Raw genomic sequence first — 17,962 nt, 5'->3', positions numbered from 1 at the left:
TTCTATACCTGGGGAAATGAAGCAGATGATTATATAGAAACACATAGTCAACCTGAATTGTAAACTAATCCCAACTCTGTAATGCAGAAAAGAACTCTGGAGCTATACATTTGAATTATTTATGTGCCTACACATCTTCTTACCAGCTATGTAACACTGGGAGCAAGTCCTTTAATCTCCCTGATCCTCTGTTTCCCAATCTACATGAATAATTAAATAAAGCCCTTGTCTCATAAGCTTAGGATGAGCTTTAAAGAAGATAATATTCACATTGGCATCAAAATTGTAACTGACATATTGTAGGCTTGCCCTCACCATGGATTCAAACCAAATCTAAGTGGTCTGTTTAAAGGCATTTGCCTTTTCTCCTATCATAGCTATTCTGACAATCAAAATACATCATAGAAAGATGACTACTGAGACTGAGGATCCAAATCCTGTTTCTAGCTCCACTGTTTGTTTGTTTGTTTTCTGTGATCTTAGCAGGTAGATTTTCTTGTCTGCCTGTTTCATAGGGTTGTCACAAGAAATTACATGGGCGAGTCACTGTGCCTTCTCATGTAGTAGGCACTTGACTAGTGAACAGATGACATCTTTGAAGTTTTTATTTTCTTTTAGTAAGAAAGATGGAAAGATACCAGGTGCTGGTGATGTAGAAAAATGAGAATGCTCATACACTGCTGCTGGGAATGTAAAACTGTACAAGTTTGGAAAATAATCTGAGTTTCTAAAAAAAAACCATATATACCATATTATTCAGCCTTTCTATTCCTAGATGTTTATTCAAGAGAAAAGGAAATACGTATCAACACAAAGACTTGCATGCAGTATTCATAGAAGCTTTATTTTTAATTGCCCCAAACTGAAAACAACTCAAATACCCATCAACAGGCACAAGGATAAACAAATTATAATATATATCTACACAATGAAATGCTACTCTGCAATATAAAAAGAGACTATTAATCCATGCAACAACATGTATAAATCTCAAAATAATTATGCTGAAAGGATTCAGTCAAAGAAAGAACACATAATATACGATTCCATTTATATAAGCAAGAAGAAGATGTAAACTAATTGCTAGTGACAGAAAGCAGATCAGGGGTTACTGGAGGTGGGGGTCAGGGAAGGACAGGATGGAAAGATTGCCAAGGGACATGATGAAACTTTAGGAGGTGGCAGGTATATTCACTCTCTTGATTGCTGTGATGGTTTCACAGTTGTATACATACATCAATAAATATATGTTGTATACTTTAAAATGGGCAGTTTATTGCATGTAAATTATACAGCAAAAGGTGTTTTTTCTTAAAAGATGTTAAAAGTCATAACCCAGTAGGTGCAATCTTCTGAAGCATAGAGACACAATCAAATGATTAAGTTAAGTGGACCAGGAGCAATTACCATGTAACTGCATTTATAGGTCAATGACTAACAAAAGTCTAATGAGTTATTTTAACCTACATGAGAACTTTAAAGGAAAAGTGGCTTTGAAGATAGGATGTGGGTCTCAATTAGAATCTTAAGCAAAATAGGGCGTGTCTAGACTCACAATTCTTACCTTGCTTAATTGAAGTGAGTCTTGCCTTTGCTGTGGAGCTGGGAGCTTGTGCTTTCCATTGTCCCCATTTTACTTGATCCAAAGATCTTGATTTACTGTTAATCCCTCTACCCCCTTGCAATTTGATGGCCATGTTCTACTTCTCAAGCACGTCTCTAGCTTATTATTTCTTTAATTGCACCCCTTACGCATGCTGCTCTCCTTGGTCACATTTGCTCAATTAGTTTCTTAATTCTAGACCAGGGACATCACAGCCTTGTATATCACGGTTTTCTAACTACCCTGCACACTCATGATAAATGATGAATGTTAAATACCTTTAACAGAAGGAGTTGCTCCCATTCCAATGCCAAGGCAGACTTGTAATTTTGTAGAGGGTCTTGTAAACTGGTATCTTATTTTACAGGGGGAAAATCAAAAACTAGTAAGGTGCTAGAACAGAGGAGACATATAGTTTTCAGCATGTCCCACATGGAAATACAGGACAGAAGGAAAGCCGAGATTTCAACTGCAGAAACATGCAGTCTGCATTGAGTTGCCTACTTTGTGCTCATAATTGCAAAAGCCCTCTCTGTTTGGAAATCCTGGGCATGACATTCTATTCCCAATGTGCTTTACATTCCCCATATCATTTGAAAACAATCATCATTCTTTCCTCTCCTGGCAATGAATTGTGATAAAGAGAAGAATGCCAAGGTTCTGAGGAGAGAGAAGACAGATTATGCAGAAGCCAGAAATAGGAGGTAACCCATAGCAGCGGTGTCTAATCCCAGCTCCAGGATATCTTTCTATTCTGCAGGCACCATTTTCTGCTCTTCAAAACTCTTGGGGCAGGAAATGTGTTTCATGAGCTCAGAGTGTGGTCTTGAATTCTATTTGAAATCAGATAATATTAGATATGTAAGAGTTTTTACTTAATCCAACCTTTTTATTTTATGGGTGAAAAAAAACTGAAGTTTAGGGAACGAAAATTACTTGTCTTATGTCCCACTGTTACTAGGAAGAGTTGGAAAAATTGGGAGAAAGGAAACTTTTTTGACAATATAAAGGTAAGACAGCAAGCTGGGCCCATGACAGCAGGATGCATAACCAGCAGCTGAAGTCTAAAAGAGAGTGGACAAGGAGCATAGGCTAATACTTAAAGCAAGGACAGCAGAGGCTGAGAGGGTTTGACTGGTTCAACCCACTGCCGGATGGGTCTCTTGTTGAATGTGGTATCTTAATCAACCATCTCTAGTAGACTACACAACGAGGGCAAACACTCAAAATTCAAATTGAAAATTGTTTCCTCTGGGTTGGCAAGGCACAAAATTAAAAAAAAATCCCCATAAACCTGGACTCCCATATGTGGTTCTCAGCTGGTGTGAACCCCTGAATGAATTACATGCAGCCAGATAAATTAATGGTACACACATGGGGGACCAACTTGAAAGGAAGAATTGCGTCTGAGAAGACTGCCAGGCATTAAGGAACTCTGGAAAGCAGACAGAGTCCACATTGATATGGCATGCTACAGAGGACCCCCAGTGACATTATGATCAAGCACAGGAATAATGTATAATAAATGAGAAATGACACAAATTGAAAGAAGAGCAAAAAAGCAATAGCAGAATGCCTTAATATTCAGCCTCTATTAGTTGGATGGAACTAGGTGGGTGTTAACTCTCACTTTCCTGCCTGTCGGAAATGCTGCCATGTTTGTGTGAATTTAGTGCTCTTTATACCAGTTAAAGCCTGGAGCCAAATGATTTAGGATGACCCCTTTTCCTCCTGGCCTCATACTAATTGACTTGAGAGTGAGTTACAGTCCCTGCAGAATAGTAGCCATACACTGGGTATATTTTTAATGTCAATTTCTGCAGGAGCTTTTACCCAAGGAAATTGTTGTAACAAAGATTCTCTCTATCCTACATCCTAGGATAGATATTGATTTTTAGCCCATTAGATGGGGGAAAGAGTAGATGGGAATATGTAAATGGAAAGTGGGATGGCAGTCAGTCACTTAGGTCTTTATGTAAAAGGGTGATACCCAGATATTTGAGTGGTTGTGATTTTTGACCCCCCTTTAGAGAGTCCTATAGATTTGGAAAGCTGGAAAACAAGAAGTTTAAATGATTTTTGTGGCTATAATCACAGGGCTGGCAGGTAGAATTAAGGTTAGCAAACTCAGAAATAAGGAATATCAACAAGTGATTGTAGAGATGCTTTCTTTCTGTCATTGATGGCAGCTTTCTGTATTTATGTCTAAAACCTAAAAGTTAAGATTATTTAGATGCCCAGGAGACAGAATTGCTGTGGTGCACAACTCAAAGGACACAATTCACTAGCAAGACTGGCTGGAGCAACCACAGATGGGTGAAGACCATGTCCTGTAGTACCTTATAGGTCAGAATAAGGCAGGGAAGGCATTTGTAAGATGCAATCCAATGATGTGTTAAAAAATTGAAATGAAAACTCCAAAGTTCAAAACTAATTTACTTAAAAAGAGAACTAAAGTTAATTAAAGGTTTTCTCTATTGTGATATATTTTCATTTGTTTTTTTTTTCAAGCAGACAGAAGTGAAAAGGTGAAATATATTATGCAAGAGAGAGACATCTTATGTAAGTTTTGGTCAGAGGACACCGAAAAAGCTCTAAGTTACTAAAGGAGGCAACTTGAACAATACTGGCTGAAGAAGTATGGGCTCTGATTAATGGAAACAGACTTCCATGGTACAGAGAGAAAACCAGAACATGTTCACATTTTACCCAATGTCTATGTCCTAAAGTGGGTGAAGGGCCAGGTCTTAGAAGTCAATCAAAAACAACCTTTTGGTCAGGTGTGGTGGCTCATGCTTGTAATCCCAACACTTTGGGAGGCTGAGGCAGGCAGATCGCTTGAATCCAGGAGTTCAAGACCAGCCTGGGCAACATGGCAAAATCCTGTCTCTACACGAAATACAAAAATTAGTTGGACGTGGTGGCATGTGCCTGTAGTCCCAGCTGCTCGGGAGGCTGAGGCGGAAGGATCACCTGAGCCCAGGAGGTTGAGGCTGCTGTGAGCCGTGATTGCATCATTGTACCCCAGCCTGCATGACAAAGTGAGGCCCTGTCTCAAAACAAAACAATAATACCAACAAACCAAAGAAACCACAGAACCACACTGACCTTTAAATAAAAAACTCAGTGTTACCAGTAATTCCTAAAATCTAAGTGAAATGCCAATCCTTTTCATTGTGAGATAGCACTAGATACCTCATTTGGAAATGAGGAGATACAGTGTTTTTGTCCAAGGTCACAAACATAGTAATTGTCAGAACCAAATGAAGAATCAAGACCATCTAGCTTTGAACCCACATGATTTCTTCTGATCCAGCACAGCCTTCTTCCTACTTCGGAGGGGGCAAATCCCTGGCATATTAATTTCACATTCGCCTTCAGGAGGTAGCTATTTCTTAACAATCATGGTAGATATTTCTTATCAATCAGGATCCTCTGACTCACCCCTGATGTCTTTTCAGAGCAGGCTTTCAGCAGCTGCTGTCATCTGATGGGAGGCGGCATAGGCGAAGAAAACTCTTTTTTTTTTTTTTTAATTTTGCCTTAGACTAAGATGCGTTCATAATTTAAAGCCAGGTTAATTTTTTTACCCTTTTCACTTTCCACTTTGTTGGGATAATAGAACTCGATTGGTCAGCATCATTCTTGCTGATTTTACTTTATACTACTCTTACCAGCCTGGGGTTTTGCTAGAATCTATGATGCAATGGGGAAACATTTTGCTCTTAAGTAGTGTTTCATACATCCTGGAGGGAAACCTGAAAAAGGGCATGGGAGGGGAAGGGAGCTTCATCTAAAATCATTTCCCTTTAAGAGGAACCAAATTTCCTTTTAAAGTATCAAATTGTAAACATGGGGCCTGCATCCTCTGAGATTTTATTCTGAATCTTTTAATACGGTGTAAAATAATAACTGCCCATACCTTGTATCTGTCTGTCTGAAAGTTACCTCCACTGGTCTCTTCATTGACAAATGAGTACTTCTGAAGAATAGGTTTTATTTACAAATAAGGTAAATAATAGCTGATAAAGTCTTATGAAGAGAGGCAGAACAATGTAATAGAAAGAAAACAGAGTAAAGAACTGGTGTTTACACTAGCAACAGAGTCAGCTTTGTGCATCTGAATAATGGGAAAGGCAGTGAGGATCAAAGAGAAGGTACTTTTATACTATATATAAATGCTTATCATAGTTATCATCACTATTATTTACTAAACTTTCTCTGTATCAAAATTATGTGATAATGGGGGATGATGATTTTCCTGCAAATACTGCGAGCCAGGCAGAGCTGGCATTTTCCCCACCACTGAGATGAGGAAACATAGGCTTAAAGACATTAAGTTATGTGGTTAGTAACTTGGGGAGCTGGAATGAGAATCTAAATTTTCTAACTCACAGTCAGGGCTCTATCCATTTTGTGTTGGTATTTTAGCATACCTGATCATAAGAACCACCTGGAGCTCTTTTTTGTTTTTTTGTTTTTTTTGAGACGGAGTCTCCCTCTGTCGCCCAGGCCGGACTGCGGACTGCAGTGGCGGAATCTCGGCTCACTGCAAGCTCCGCTTCCCGGGTTCACGCCATTCTCCTGCCTCAGCCTCCCGAGTAGCTGGGACTACAGGCGCCCGCCACCGCGCCCGGCTAATTTTTTTTTGTATTTTTAGTAGAGACGGGGTTTCACCTTGTTAGCCAGGATGGTCTCGATCTCCTGACCTCATGATCCACCCGCCTCGGCCTCCCAAAGTGCTGAGATTACAGGCGTGAGCCACCGCGCCCGGCCGAGCTCTTTTTAAAGTAGAGATTTCTGGGCTCAACGCCTAAGCTTCCAAATCAGCATCTCCTAGAGTGGGATTTGTGTATCTGGTTTTTATCTAGTTCAAATAATGGTTAGCCAGGTTTAGGTACCCAAGCTGGAGAATTTCTGTTAGTGACTTAATTACTACCACAAGATATTCTCATGCTGTTTGCATTCATACAGTTTGGAGCAGCCAGATAGAGGAGGATGTATGTGACCTGTGAGGCCCACTAGACTGTATACAAAGCCCTTAAGTTCTGCCTCCTAACAGGCTGGACAACCACAGGCAATTCCACACCTCCTCCTGGGCCTCTGTTTCTTAATCTGTGAGTTGGGTAGTTAAACTAGATATTTTCTTGAGGACTCTTCCCACTCTTGATCCAAGATTTTCTGAAAATAAATAAGGGACCAATTGTTAATTTTATTTAGTATGCTCTAATATGACTAGATGCACACTCTGTTGGGGTCTTTGAGGAATGCCTGAAAATGATACCCTTCTTCCAACTTATACTCCGTTACCATGCTCTAGCTGGAGCGATTGTTTCCTTCAGCTACACGAGCATAAAAGCTCCTTCTTGCTCTATGAACTCTGCAATCTTTGACCGCTTCCAAAATATAGTGTTCCATGATCTTTGCATGGCTGGCTCCTCCTCATCATTAAACTCTCATCTCAACAGCTACCTAATCAGAAACAGTTTCCCTGATCACCTTATTCTCTGTAGCCCCCTTTCAGCGAAACTGTGTCATCTTGTTTTATTTTTTTCCAGAAAATTTACCTCTACAGGAAATTATCATGATTTTGTATGTGCTTCTTTTTTTTTGATACTTAATCTATTGAAAATTAAACTAAAACAGGTATCTTCACCAATGTATTCTCACCATCTAGAAGAACCTAGCACATAGTAGGTATTCATTACATATTTGTTAAATCAGTGACAAATAAGTATAATCTTCTTAAATGTACTCGAATATGTTAATTAGCATATTACTCATTCTGACTGGCCTTTTCATTTTTCTGGTTCTTCTTACTTTTTGGTATCTCATTGTCCACTGAGGTTTAAACTGGAAGGCCTAGGGAACACATATGCATTTCCTCTGCTATTTTACAACTATATCTGCTTGACTAGGTGTCTCAGCTGAGCAGAATTTTTGGACTGACATTCTGAGAGGCAGTGCAGGGCTACCAGATGGCCAGCTTCTCTCTCAGATGATGTGGAACCTGGCTTTGGCCTGCAGAACCCCCTCTACCTTCCAACCACAGCAAACACCTCAATGAGGACAGCATTGTACTGAGATGTCAATGCATAAAGCTTTCTCCTAACATTCTACTCTGTTTCTTTAGAGAAGTACTGTCTAGCATTTTGAAAGTGAGAAATGCAGTTGTCTATGCTCTTTTCAGAGACAGAAGGAGTAGGAGTAGGAGGAGGAGGACAAGGAGCAGTTTGTCTTACTGCATATTCCTCCTCCCTGCTGCCATTTAAAGACCTTAACAATACCCATATTGTCAGCCACACCTCTCCCATCCTCTTCTAACTTATGATCCAGACCTTCGGGGCTGCTGATAGACAGAATGGCTCCCACTTTATGTTAGAGTATCCATGCTAGCTATATTAGTCATTCTCACACTGCTATAAAGATATTACCCAAGAGTAGGTAATTTATAAAGGAAAGAGGTTTAATTGACTCACAGTTCTGCATGGCTGGGAGGCCTAAGGAAACTTATAATCATGGCGGAAGAGGAAGCAGGCATGTCTTACATGGTGGCAGGCAAGAGAGAGTGTGGGTTAGTGCAGGAAAAACTACTATTTATAAAACCATCAGATCTCGTGAGAATTTACTCAGTATTATGAGAACAGCATGGGGAAAACACCCCTATAATCTAATCACTTCCCTCCCTTGACACATGAGGATTACAACTTGAGATGACGTTTGGATGGGGACACAGAGCCAAATCATATCACTAGCTGTTTATAAAATCCCAGTGGCTAAACAAAGTAAACATCGATAGCTGTTCACCTCACAGTCCAATTCCAGTCAGTGGCTCTTCTCCAAGAGTGATTGGATCCACATTCCTTCCATCATGTGGCTCCTCCACATCCAGGATCTCCAGGATTTTCTGCACTTAGAAAGTGGGCAAAAAAGAGAACCCATGAAGGATTGCTCAGGGTGCTTCAGGGCCAGGCTGGAAAGTGGCAAACCTCACTTCTGCCCACACTCTCTTGGCCAGAACTCAGCCAATCTCACCAAAAACGAGAGAAACAAAATATTCCAACATGCCAGGAAGTAGAAATATGCTTGGCGATCACCTGGCCAGTCTAGATACTACTTCATTTGTATTCCCAGAGTACTATATTGCAAGCAGCAGCATTTCCATTTGCAATATTCACCAAACTTCTCTTAATTTTTTTGACTCAGAAATTTGTTGAAATATCTTATTTCATTTTGCTCTCCTGTAATGACTTTGTTCCTTTTCAAACTTAGGTGTTTTAATCTAAGTGGGATAAGCAGTAAAAGAAATGTTTGGTCTGTGCCATCATCTTAAATTGAAATAAAATATCTCAATTTTTAAAGCCATTCAGCCCTTCCCAACAATGAGGATTTCTCATTGACTATATTTCACTCTTAAGCCTCTAGCTCAAAAATTTTGACTTTCTCTATCTCTACAGAATATTTTTTTCACATGCACTTACTTAACCCTTCCATGTTTTTCTCTTTCCTTTCTTTCTTTTCTTTCTTGCTTTCTTGCTTTCTTTCTTATCTCTTTCTTTCTCTCTCCCTCTTTCTTTTTTCTTTCTTTCTTTTTTACGTAACCTGGAAAACCACAACATTTTTCTTAGTTTATTAACAAGGACAATTTTGTTTCTTCCTCATAACTCTACTTTCCAGCCCATCGTCTTGGGGCTTATGTTTTTACAATCAAAATGCATTTCTTCCACAGCACTTCCTCCTTAGTGAAAGTATGCAACTGCATGCACAGGTAAGAAAATTGAATATGTAAAGGCTCTGGAAGTAAATCACAGAGAACTCATGTTTGTACCAGACAGGTGACAAGGCTGGAGAGAAGAGGTTGGAAGCAGTGGCCTTAGTTCCTGGACAACTTTTATTCTCTAGTTCTAGTGACAGGGTGACCAAAATAAATACACCAAAATGCAATATTTGGAACTTAGAATATGCACAGGAATTATATATTATGAAATATTATAAATTAGGCATTTACCTATTTTCTCATTTAATCCTTCAGCTTTATGAGATAGATATCATTAAATGTTACGCACATAAGGAATTAACACTCAAATAATTTATCTAATTTTTAAAAACACACAGATAGCCAATTACAGTTTTCCTGTTTTAATGCCTGTGGACACTTTCTTCAACACACTTAAACATGTTGCTTAGAGTCTGCAGTCTGACATTCTAGACTAGTATTGAAATGTGGTAAGAATAAATACTAGAATCCTGCAGCCAGAGAGACCTTGGAGCAAGGCCTGGGCTTGTAACTTACTATGTGACTTTGGGTAAGTGAGTCAAACTCTTCAGTTTCTTCATATATAAAATGGTGAGGATTTTAACGACTTCGTAGGCTTGGGATGGGGATTAAATAAGATGTAGAAAGGCTAGCATAATGTTTAGGTCAAGAAAGCACCCAATAAATGTTAGATATTATTACTATTTTTTTCATCCAAGTATGAATTTTTTGGCTCAAAGAATGGAAACATCCTGGTCAAGGTCATAACACAGCCAACTAAATGACTGACCTGGGATGTGCAGCATTGTCTTCAAACACCAGAGAAACCCCAATCTGTCTTCCATGCCACTTTCTGCTATACAGGCCTTCAGCCAGCATTTTAACAAATAAAAGAGAATTGCCTGGCATAGTTATAGATATTGAGCCACAAGAAATTTGTAGACACCATTTTTTTCCCATGGACTCATCCTTGGAAGTACTTTAACATAATAGTTTTTCTCCTCTGTCCAGAAGAGTTTAAATGTAGACCTTTTTAGAAACATGAAGACATGGTAAATGAATTCTCAAGTGCATCTGCAGATACAGGAACATGAGCCTAGATTCACAACAGACATGTTGTGATTTAAAATTAGAATGGAGAGGCCTATTTGTTGAGCTTCAAGGACTAATAACTGGAGCACTTTATCTTGATCAAAAGATTTTTCACGGGCCTGGAAGAATAGAAGTACCAACCGCCGTACCCCATACTTTCTTTTTCTAATAACCCAAGGTACACACACACCACACACACATGTGCATGTGCACAAGCCCTGCCTGCCCACACTCACCAGTGCCCATCCTCAAGCCACCTACGCACATTCTTGGCAAAACAAAACAAAACAAAACAAAGCAAAAAACAACTATTTAAATCTTTTTATTCATCTTTGTTGAATAGCTTTCTCCCTCTGGTTTCCAGAATTCTTGCCTAAAAATTATGGTTTCAGCCTTATCATTAAAAAAAAAACTTGTCAAATTCTGCCATACTTCAGAATTGAGAAACTTGTGAAGTAAAAATAAGAGTATAAATTAGAATGATTTAACTGACCTCAACTCACTGAGTTAACAGTGTGTCAAAAAAATGAGTATTGGAAAGGGAATCATATATTTGAGATTCTGGACATTCTTTGACTCAAATTAGCCACTGTGGGGCAATTCACATCTTCTTTGTGCTTCAATTTCCTCATCTGTTAACCGAGTATCCTATTAATACTTCCTTCCCCTTAGAGTTTATTCATTCATTCTACAGTTTTGTTATTTTCTTTCAGCACCTTCTTTATTCTAGTTGCTATACTGAGTTCTACAGATACAACATGAAGTAAGACACAAATAGTTCTCTGAAGTAGCCCACATTCTATGGGAAGAAAGCACACAAAGTAAAAAGTGCTGTGATAGAGGTATGTCCAGAGTCCCAATGGGATCAAATACATCTCAAGGGATGTGTATAATATGAGTGCACAGAGTGCTAGATAAGAGGAGGGTGGGAGATGTGTCCCACTGGTGTCTGAGCTCCTAATAGAGCTTCAGTTTCTCTGGTCCAGTTCTCCTTTGCCCTAGCAAGTTGACTCATCCTTCTATGTCCAGGGCCCCACAACAGATTCCAGAGGCTTAACAGTGCTCTGGACCATTGAAAATGGGTGGAAAACTCTCCATGGGACGGAGAGACAGGGAACTGACATGTTGCTGGGCAATGGGCAATGATCTAGATATAGTCAGCAGGTCATCCTTATCAGGCTACAGTGAGAAGGATCACCTAATTTTCCAAGCGATGTACCGTGCTTTCTCAAACAGAAAATCTGCTATCCCAGAAAGGCCTTCCATGGCCTTGTGCTGCTCCCTGGCACCAGCAGCTGCAGGACATTTGCTCCCAATGAGTCAGCATTCTCCCTTTGTAGACTCTATGCCTGCCTGATTATCAGCTTTACTGTGGAACCTTCAGATAGTCAAGGGAAGGAACAGATCTCTTGCTCCTAACACCTTGACCATAGATCTTTAAATTGAACAACAAAAAATTTCTCATATGGTACTCTGCTTCTGATCTAAAAACTTGCTTTGGGATGAGGAATACAGGAAGAATGGTAATTCTTATTTACCCTACCAAGGGAGATATGGTAAATAAGAATTGGACACAGTGGTTAATTCCAAATATCATTCCATCATATGAGCTGTTGTTATTTGTGATGTTACTAGCAGCCAGATCACACCATCTTCTTTAGCAATCCATTCTGCCCCTAGCATCACAGCTTTAAAATGGAATAGGGTACATTTCATAGACTCACAAAAATCCAGCTTTATTTATGTAGCAAGTTCAGATAAGTGATATGATTTGTTCAAATTCATACAGCAGAACCAAGGGTAGATGTCACTTTCAAGTTCAGGCTTCCTCCCAGACCAATTGCTATTTTATTTTATTTTTCCAGACCAACATTTTGTTAACTGCTGATATCTTGTTTGTTGCACAATCCTTAAAGTCAGATTGTTTTCTTATCCTGGCCTTACTGTTTGCTAGCTGGATGTACTTGAGCAAGTCACTTTACTCCGCTGAGACTTATATTCTAATCTGTTAGATAGAGACTCTCATCTGGGGGAAATAATATATGCCCCTTATAATCAATGTGATGATTATATAATTTAATTCATATAAAGGTTTTAGGACAGTGACTTGTATATGATAATTTCTCCATAATTTTTTTAACATTTTAGATAAAGTTGTTTTTTAGATGCTCACCTGGCTCTTGTTTTTTTCCCCTCCTTTATAATTATAATTATTATGCAACAAATGTTACTGTGTTTTAAACACTATGTAAGGTAGATATTTTTAAAATAAGATTGATTATTCTCTAGGTTTTGTGAATAAGAAAGTAAATAAAATCCATCACTTTCTACACATGTACCCCATAAGTATATACAAATATGTAACAATGAAAACATTTTAAAATCCATAACTTCATAATTAATTTACTATATTTTATTAAGTTTTTGAGGTTATGTCTATTTTAAGCATATGGTAGAAACGTTATGTAATGATATACTACTATGAATCTCTTTTCAATTTCGTGTTCAATGACATTACCTTGATTTTGAAATCAACCATGGTGGAAATATTTATACCATGAAAATTGGCAAATGCTGTAAGTCAGGGCTTGATGTATTGTTTTGATGATTTCGCTAGACTTGATAGGTTAATAATGCTGTATTCTGTCTGTGACTATTGAGTCATAAACAACATAAATAACAGGAAATATTTTTCAGTATTAGTGGATTTAACACTATTAGTGAATTTAACAAAGATTCGGCTAATACCATTAACAAACAAGTGAAGTTTTAATATATGCCTTTGTCCATTCACTTTTTTGCTCCCAGTTAACATAAATGAAAATATCAAGCACCATTCATTTCACAATCACACTTGTTGATCAGTGAAGTAAGAGACATTTTTGCTGAACCAGACAGTATTTAAACGTTTATTTGCAGGCTGATATTGTCAAATAATGGTTGGATTGCAATAATAGCTTGGCCATGAATACAAGAGTTCAACAGAAATTAACTAATGTATTCTATGAGAATCAATTAGCTATATGGAATTTATAATAAAGATTATTGTATATTTTATATATATAACATGTAAATTGTGTGCTACTTGTCCTGTATATGAGTGAAATGTATAATAAACTTATGTACATGTACATATGCACATATTTTTCCCCCAGGGAGCTGGTTGTTAAATATTTATCAGCACACCACTGTCCCCAATTCATATCTACCTTCTAGTCATCACCTCTCTGGCTTTGGAGCAGATCATAAACTCTAGAATCCAGACACCAGCCAGTGCAGTACTTCACAAGCTCTGCAGTACTTCTCAGGATCTGTTTTCCCAGGATGACCTTGTGTGAGCTGTAAGTCATCAAAACCTGGTTCCTTTGATCTGCCCTGGGGAGAAAGGAATTATGTCCCTTTAACATGGACAAAACTCCACGGGACCTCAGCTTGCAAATTCAGGATTAAGAGAACTTGAAATTCATTGACATTCTACAAACTCAGAGCTAACGAAGCCTGTGAGGGTCATCCCTTCCAGAACTTTCGTCTTTATGGAATGAGTATCAGAACAGGCCAGTCTCAGGCTCATGTCTGAGTGATTTATCATTTTCATTCATCACCTCTAAGGCTGAGCTGGCCCCAGTTTCCCTTGTCTGGGCTATGGATGTCCCCTGCTGGAATCCAGAGCTCACTGCAGCTCAGGGAATTAGAACAAATGCTGCGGCCGTAGATGCATTGTGTGTATGTGTAAGAACACACTCGCTGTCTGCGTGCCTCTCGACAGGAAACCACTCCGGAAATTCACTCTCTTGTCCTGGTTTTACAGGTCTGCCCTCATTTACTGATTTCATGTCCCAAATGATTGAGAATCATTATTTATCAAGTCTTTTGAATAATGTCTACCACATGGTAAGCTCTCAATAAACATTTACTGAAAAAAATGAGCATAGCCTTGTAAGGTACATTATGCGTGATCTAATTTCATCCTCACAACAATCAAATAAATTAGGAACTATGGTTAACTCCTTCTTGTTTTCAGGTGTTGGAACTCAGGCCTAGAGGTTAGGTCACTTACATAAGGTCACTTAGCTTGGATGTGGCAGCATCAGCCTTAGGGCATAAGTGTCCCTGTCTGCAGGCTCGCTGCTCTGCTACAGCCTGCCATGCAGTCTCCAAAGGGTTCCTTCTCCACAGCTTCTCCAAACAGAAATACCTGCTCCTTTTTGCTTTCGTATTTCCCCACTCCCAGTATTCACCCAGGGTGAATCTCGTCCTTTGTCCTGCTTGCTGTGTACCCTGGCCAAATCCCTTCGCCTTTCAGAGCCTGAGTTTCTTCATCAGATAAATAAAGGGGATGGATTAGCTGACTCTTAATTTTAAAATGCCAATTCTAAAATGCTGACGCTTTCTGAATTTAATTTCAGGATAGACATGCTGAGGTCCAAATTGCTAGGGATTTCCTCTCTGGCCAAGGAAACAAAACTCAGTCATATACTACTTGTGAGTTTGTATCAGGAGGATGAAATTAAGCCCCAAAGTCTGCACTGCCCTTTGGGAACGTACTTTTTCAGATCAGAAGCCAACGATCACTTACATGAGAGGTTATCAGTAGATGGACAAAAAGCACCATTTCTCTCTTCTCTCCAGTGAGCCAAAGCATGGTTGCCAATTCAGACAGCCAGTTGGGAGTTTTCAACATGTGACAAGCCCAAAGGCATTTCTGAAGCTGCCAGCACAGAGGCCTGTCGAATCTGCTAAGGAACCAGATGCAGCAGATAAATATCTTCCACAGCTTGGCATCTGGGGCCTGTGCTTGCCAGCTGAGAGAAGGGGCTGTGTTGCACAGTGCTGGGGGTGGGGATGGCAGAGAGACAGCAGCTGAACAAATCACACATATTTCTCATTGAAGTAGAAAAAAAGGCAATTCTAGAGAGCATTTCAAAATTCTAAAAGGACCAGATTAAATACGGATGGTTATATGTAGGTTATTATTATATGATGGACTGGATTATAAATAGGTAAGTTATATATTGTGGTCTTTGATACCATTGTTTCATTCAGTCTGTTGATATTATTTTGCATTTCTAGAATGCAATAGTCTTTATGCAATTCATTTAGTGCAATTACATTTACAAGACAATCTCTCTCTCTCTCTCACACACACACACATACACACACAAATCTTGTATATCTAGCTCTGCACCAAATAAAAATTACAGAAATAAAGCATTCTTTTCATCATGAGGCAAAAAATGACTATGTGTTGAGTCATGTGTCCAGACTTTGTTTTTTCAAAAATATATTTCCCTTTTAGATTCTTCAAAAGAATTGATGAAATTTCATCAATTTCCTCTCAATATAATTCATAATTATTTATTGAATGCCTACTATGTGCAAGAGATTGCTTGGTGCAATTATTATGAAGAGAAAGAGACAAAGTGTCTTCAAGGAGCTTATTAACAATTCCTGGCATACTAATAATCAATGGGATTTTCCTCAACTTCAACCTGATTAAGGGCATCTTGAAAAACCTTCTGCTAACATCACAATTGGTGGGGAAAAACTGAAGCCTTTTTTCTTAAGCTCAAGTGTAAGGCTGTCCAATCTCACCACTTCAATGTCCTATGAAGGTATTAGCCAATGCAAGAAGGTCGGACAAGAAATGAAACCCATTCAGATTGAAGAGAAAGAAGCAAAACTCTATTTGCAGACAGCCTGGTTGTCTAAGTAAAAAATTCTTTTTTTTTTTTTTAAAATTTTTTTTTTTTATTATACTCTAAGTTTTAGGGTACATGTGCACATTGTGCAGGTTAGTTACATATGTATACATGTGCCACGCTGGTGCGCTGCACCCACTAACGTGTCATCTAGCATTAGGTATATCTCCCAATGCTATCCCTCCCCCCTCCCCCGACCCCACCACAGTCCCCAGAGTGTGATATTCCCCTTCCTGTGTCCATGTGATCTCATTGTTCAATTCCCACCTATGAGTGAGAATATGCGGTGTTTGGTTTTTTGTTCTTGCGATAGTTTACTGAGAATGATGGTTTCCAATTTCATCCATGTCCCTACAAAGGACATGAACTCATCGTTTTTTATGGCTGCATAGTATTCCATGGTGTATATGTGCCACATTTTCTTAATCCAGTCTATCATTGTTGGACATTTGGGTTGGTTCCAAGTCTTTGCTATTATGAATAGTGCCGCAATAAACATACGTGTGCATGTGTCTTTATAGCAGCATGATTTATAGTCCTTTGGGTATATACCCAGTAATGGGATGGCTGGGTCAAATGGTATTTCTAGTTCTAGATCCCTGAGGAATCGCCACACTGACTTCCACAATGGTTGAACTAGTTTACAGTCCCACCAACAGTGTAAAAGTGTTCCTATTTCTCCACATCCTCTCCAGCACCTGTTGTTTCCTGACTTTTTAATGATTGCCATTCTAACTGGTGTGAGATGATATCTCATAGTGGTTTTGATTTGCATTTCTCTGATGGCCAGTGATGATGAGCATTTCTTCATGTGTTTTTTGGCTGCATAAATGTCTTCTTTTGAGAAGTGTCTGCGTGGGCAAGGACTTCATGTCCAAAACACCAAAAGCAATGGCAACAAAAGCCAAAATTGACAAATGGGATCTAATTAAACTCAAGAGCTTCTGCACAGCAAAAGAAACTACCATCAGAGTGAACAGGCAACCTACAACATGGGAGAAAATTTTCGCAACCTACTCATCTGACAAAGGGCTAATATCCAGAATCTACAATGAACTCAAACAAATTTACAAGAAAAAAACAAACAACCCCATCAAAAAGTGGTCTAAGTAAAAAATTCTAAGTAATCTACAAAAATGCTACTAAAACTAATATGCGTGTTTAGCAAGGCTTCATATCAAGTCAGAAACAATAGTTTCCTCCTATTTGCAGGGGATAAGTTTCAAAACCCCAAGTGGATGCCTACAATCATGAATAGTACCAAACCCTAAATATACAACATATTTTTCCTTTTTTTTTTTTTTTTTGAGACGGAGTTTCGCTCTGTCTCCTAGGCTGGAGTGCAGTGGTGTGATCTTGGCTTATTCCAAACTCCTCCTCCTGGATTCAAGTGATTCTCCAGCCTCAGCCTCCTGAGTAGCTGGGATTACAGGCACCTGCCACCATGCCAGGCTAATTTTTGTATTTTTAGTAGAGACGTGGTTTCGTCATGTTGGCCAGGCTGGTCTCGAACTCCTGACCTCAGGTGATCCACCTATCTCGGCCTCCTAAAGTGCTGGGATCACAGGCTTGAGCCACCGTGCCCTGCCTAATATATTTTCCTAAACATACATACGATGAAATTTAGTGAATTGTGCAGAGTAAAAGATTAACAGCAATAATTAATAATAAAATAGAACAATTATGCCAATATATTGTAATATACTGTAATAAAAGTCATGTGAATGTGACCCTCTCTCTCTCTAACTATCCTATTGTTACTATATGCACCTATTTTCAGACCAAGGTTGACCACAGCTAACTGAAACTGAG

General features: G+C 38.9%; 1 long non-coding RNA gene across 1 annotated transcript; it reads right to left on the bottom strand.

Moving 5' to 3' along the window:
- Positions 1-6,391: 6,391 nt before the first annotated feature.
- On the bottom strand, positions 6,392-15,183 carry LOC107985379 (uncharacterized). Its single transcript, XR_001738093.1, has 4 exons — positions 15,028-15,183; positions 13,661-13,826; positions 8,411-8,510; positions 6,392-6,784 (listed from the first exon to the last, which is right to left on the bottom strand). It is a non-coding gene; the product is annotated as an uncharacterized LOC107985379 (long non-coding RNA).
- Between the last annotated feature and the right edge of the window lie 2,779 nt (positions 15,184-17,962).

This window comes from Homo sapiens, chromosome 1 (assembly GCF_000001405.40).
Source record: "Homo sapiens chromosome 1, GRCh38.p14 Primary Assembly".
In the NCBI taxonomy this organism is placed as follows: domain Eukaryota; kingdom Metazoa; phylum Chordata; class Mammalia; order Primates; family Hominidae; genus Homo; species Homo sapiens.
Note: the sequence above shows the minus strand (reverse complement) of the source record. Positions and strands in the feature narration are given on the sequence as shown.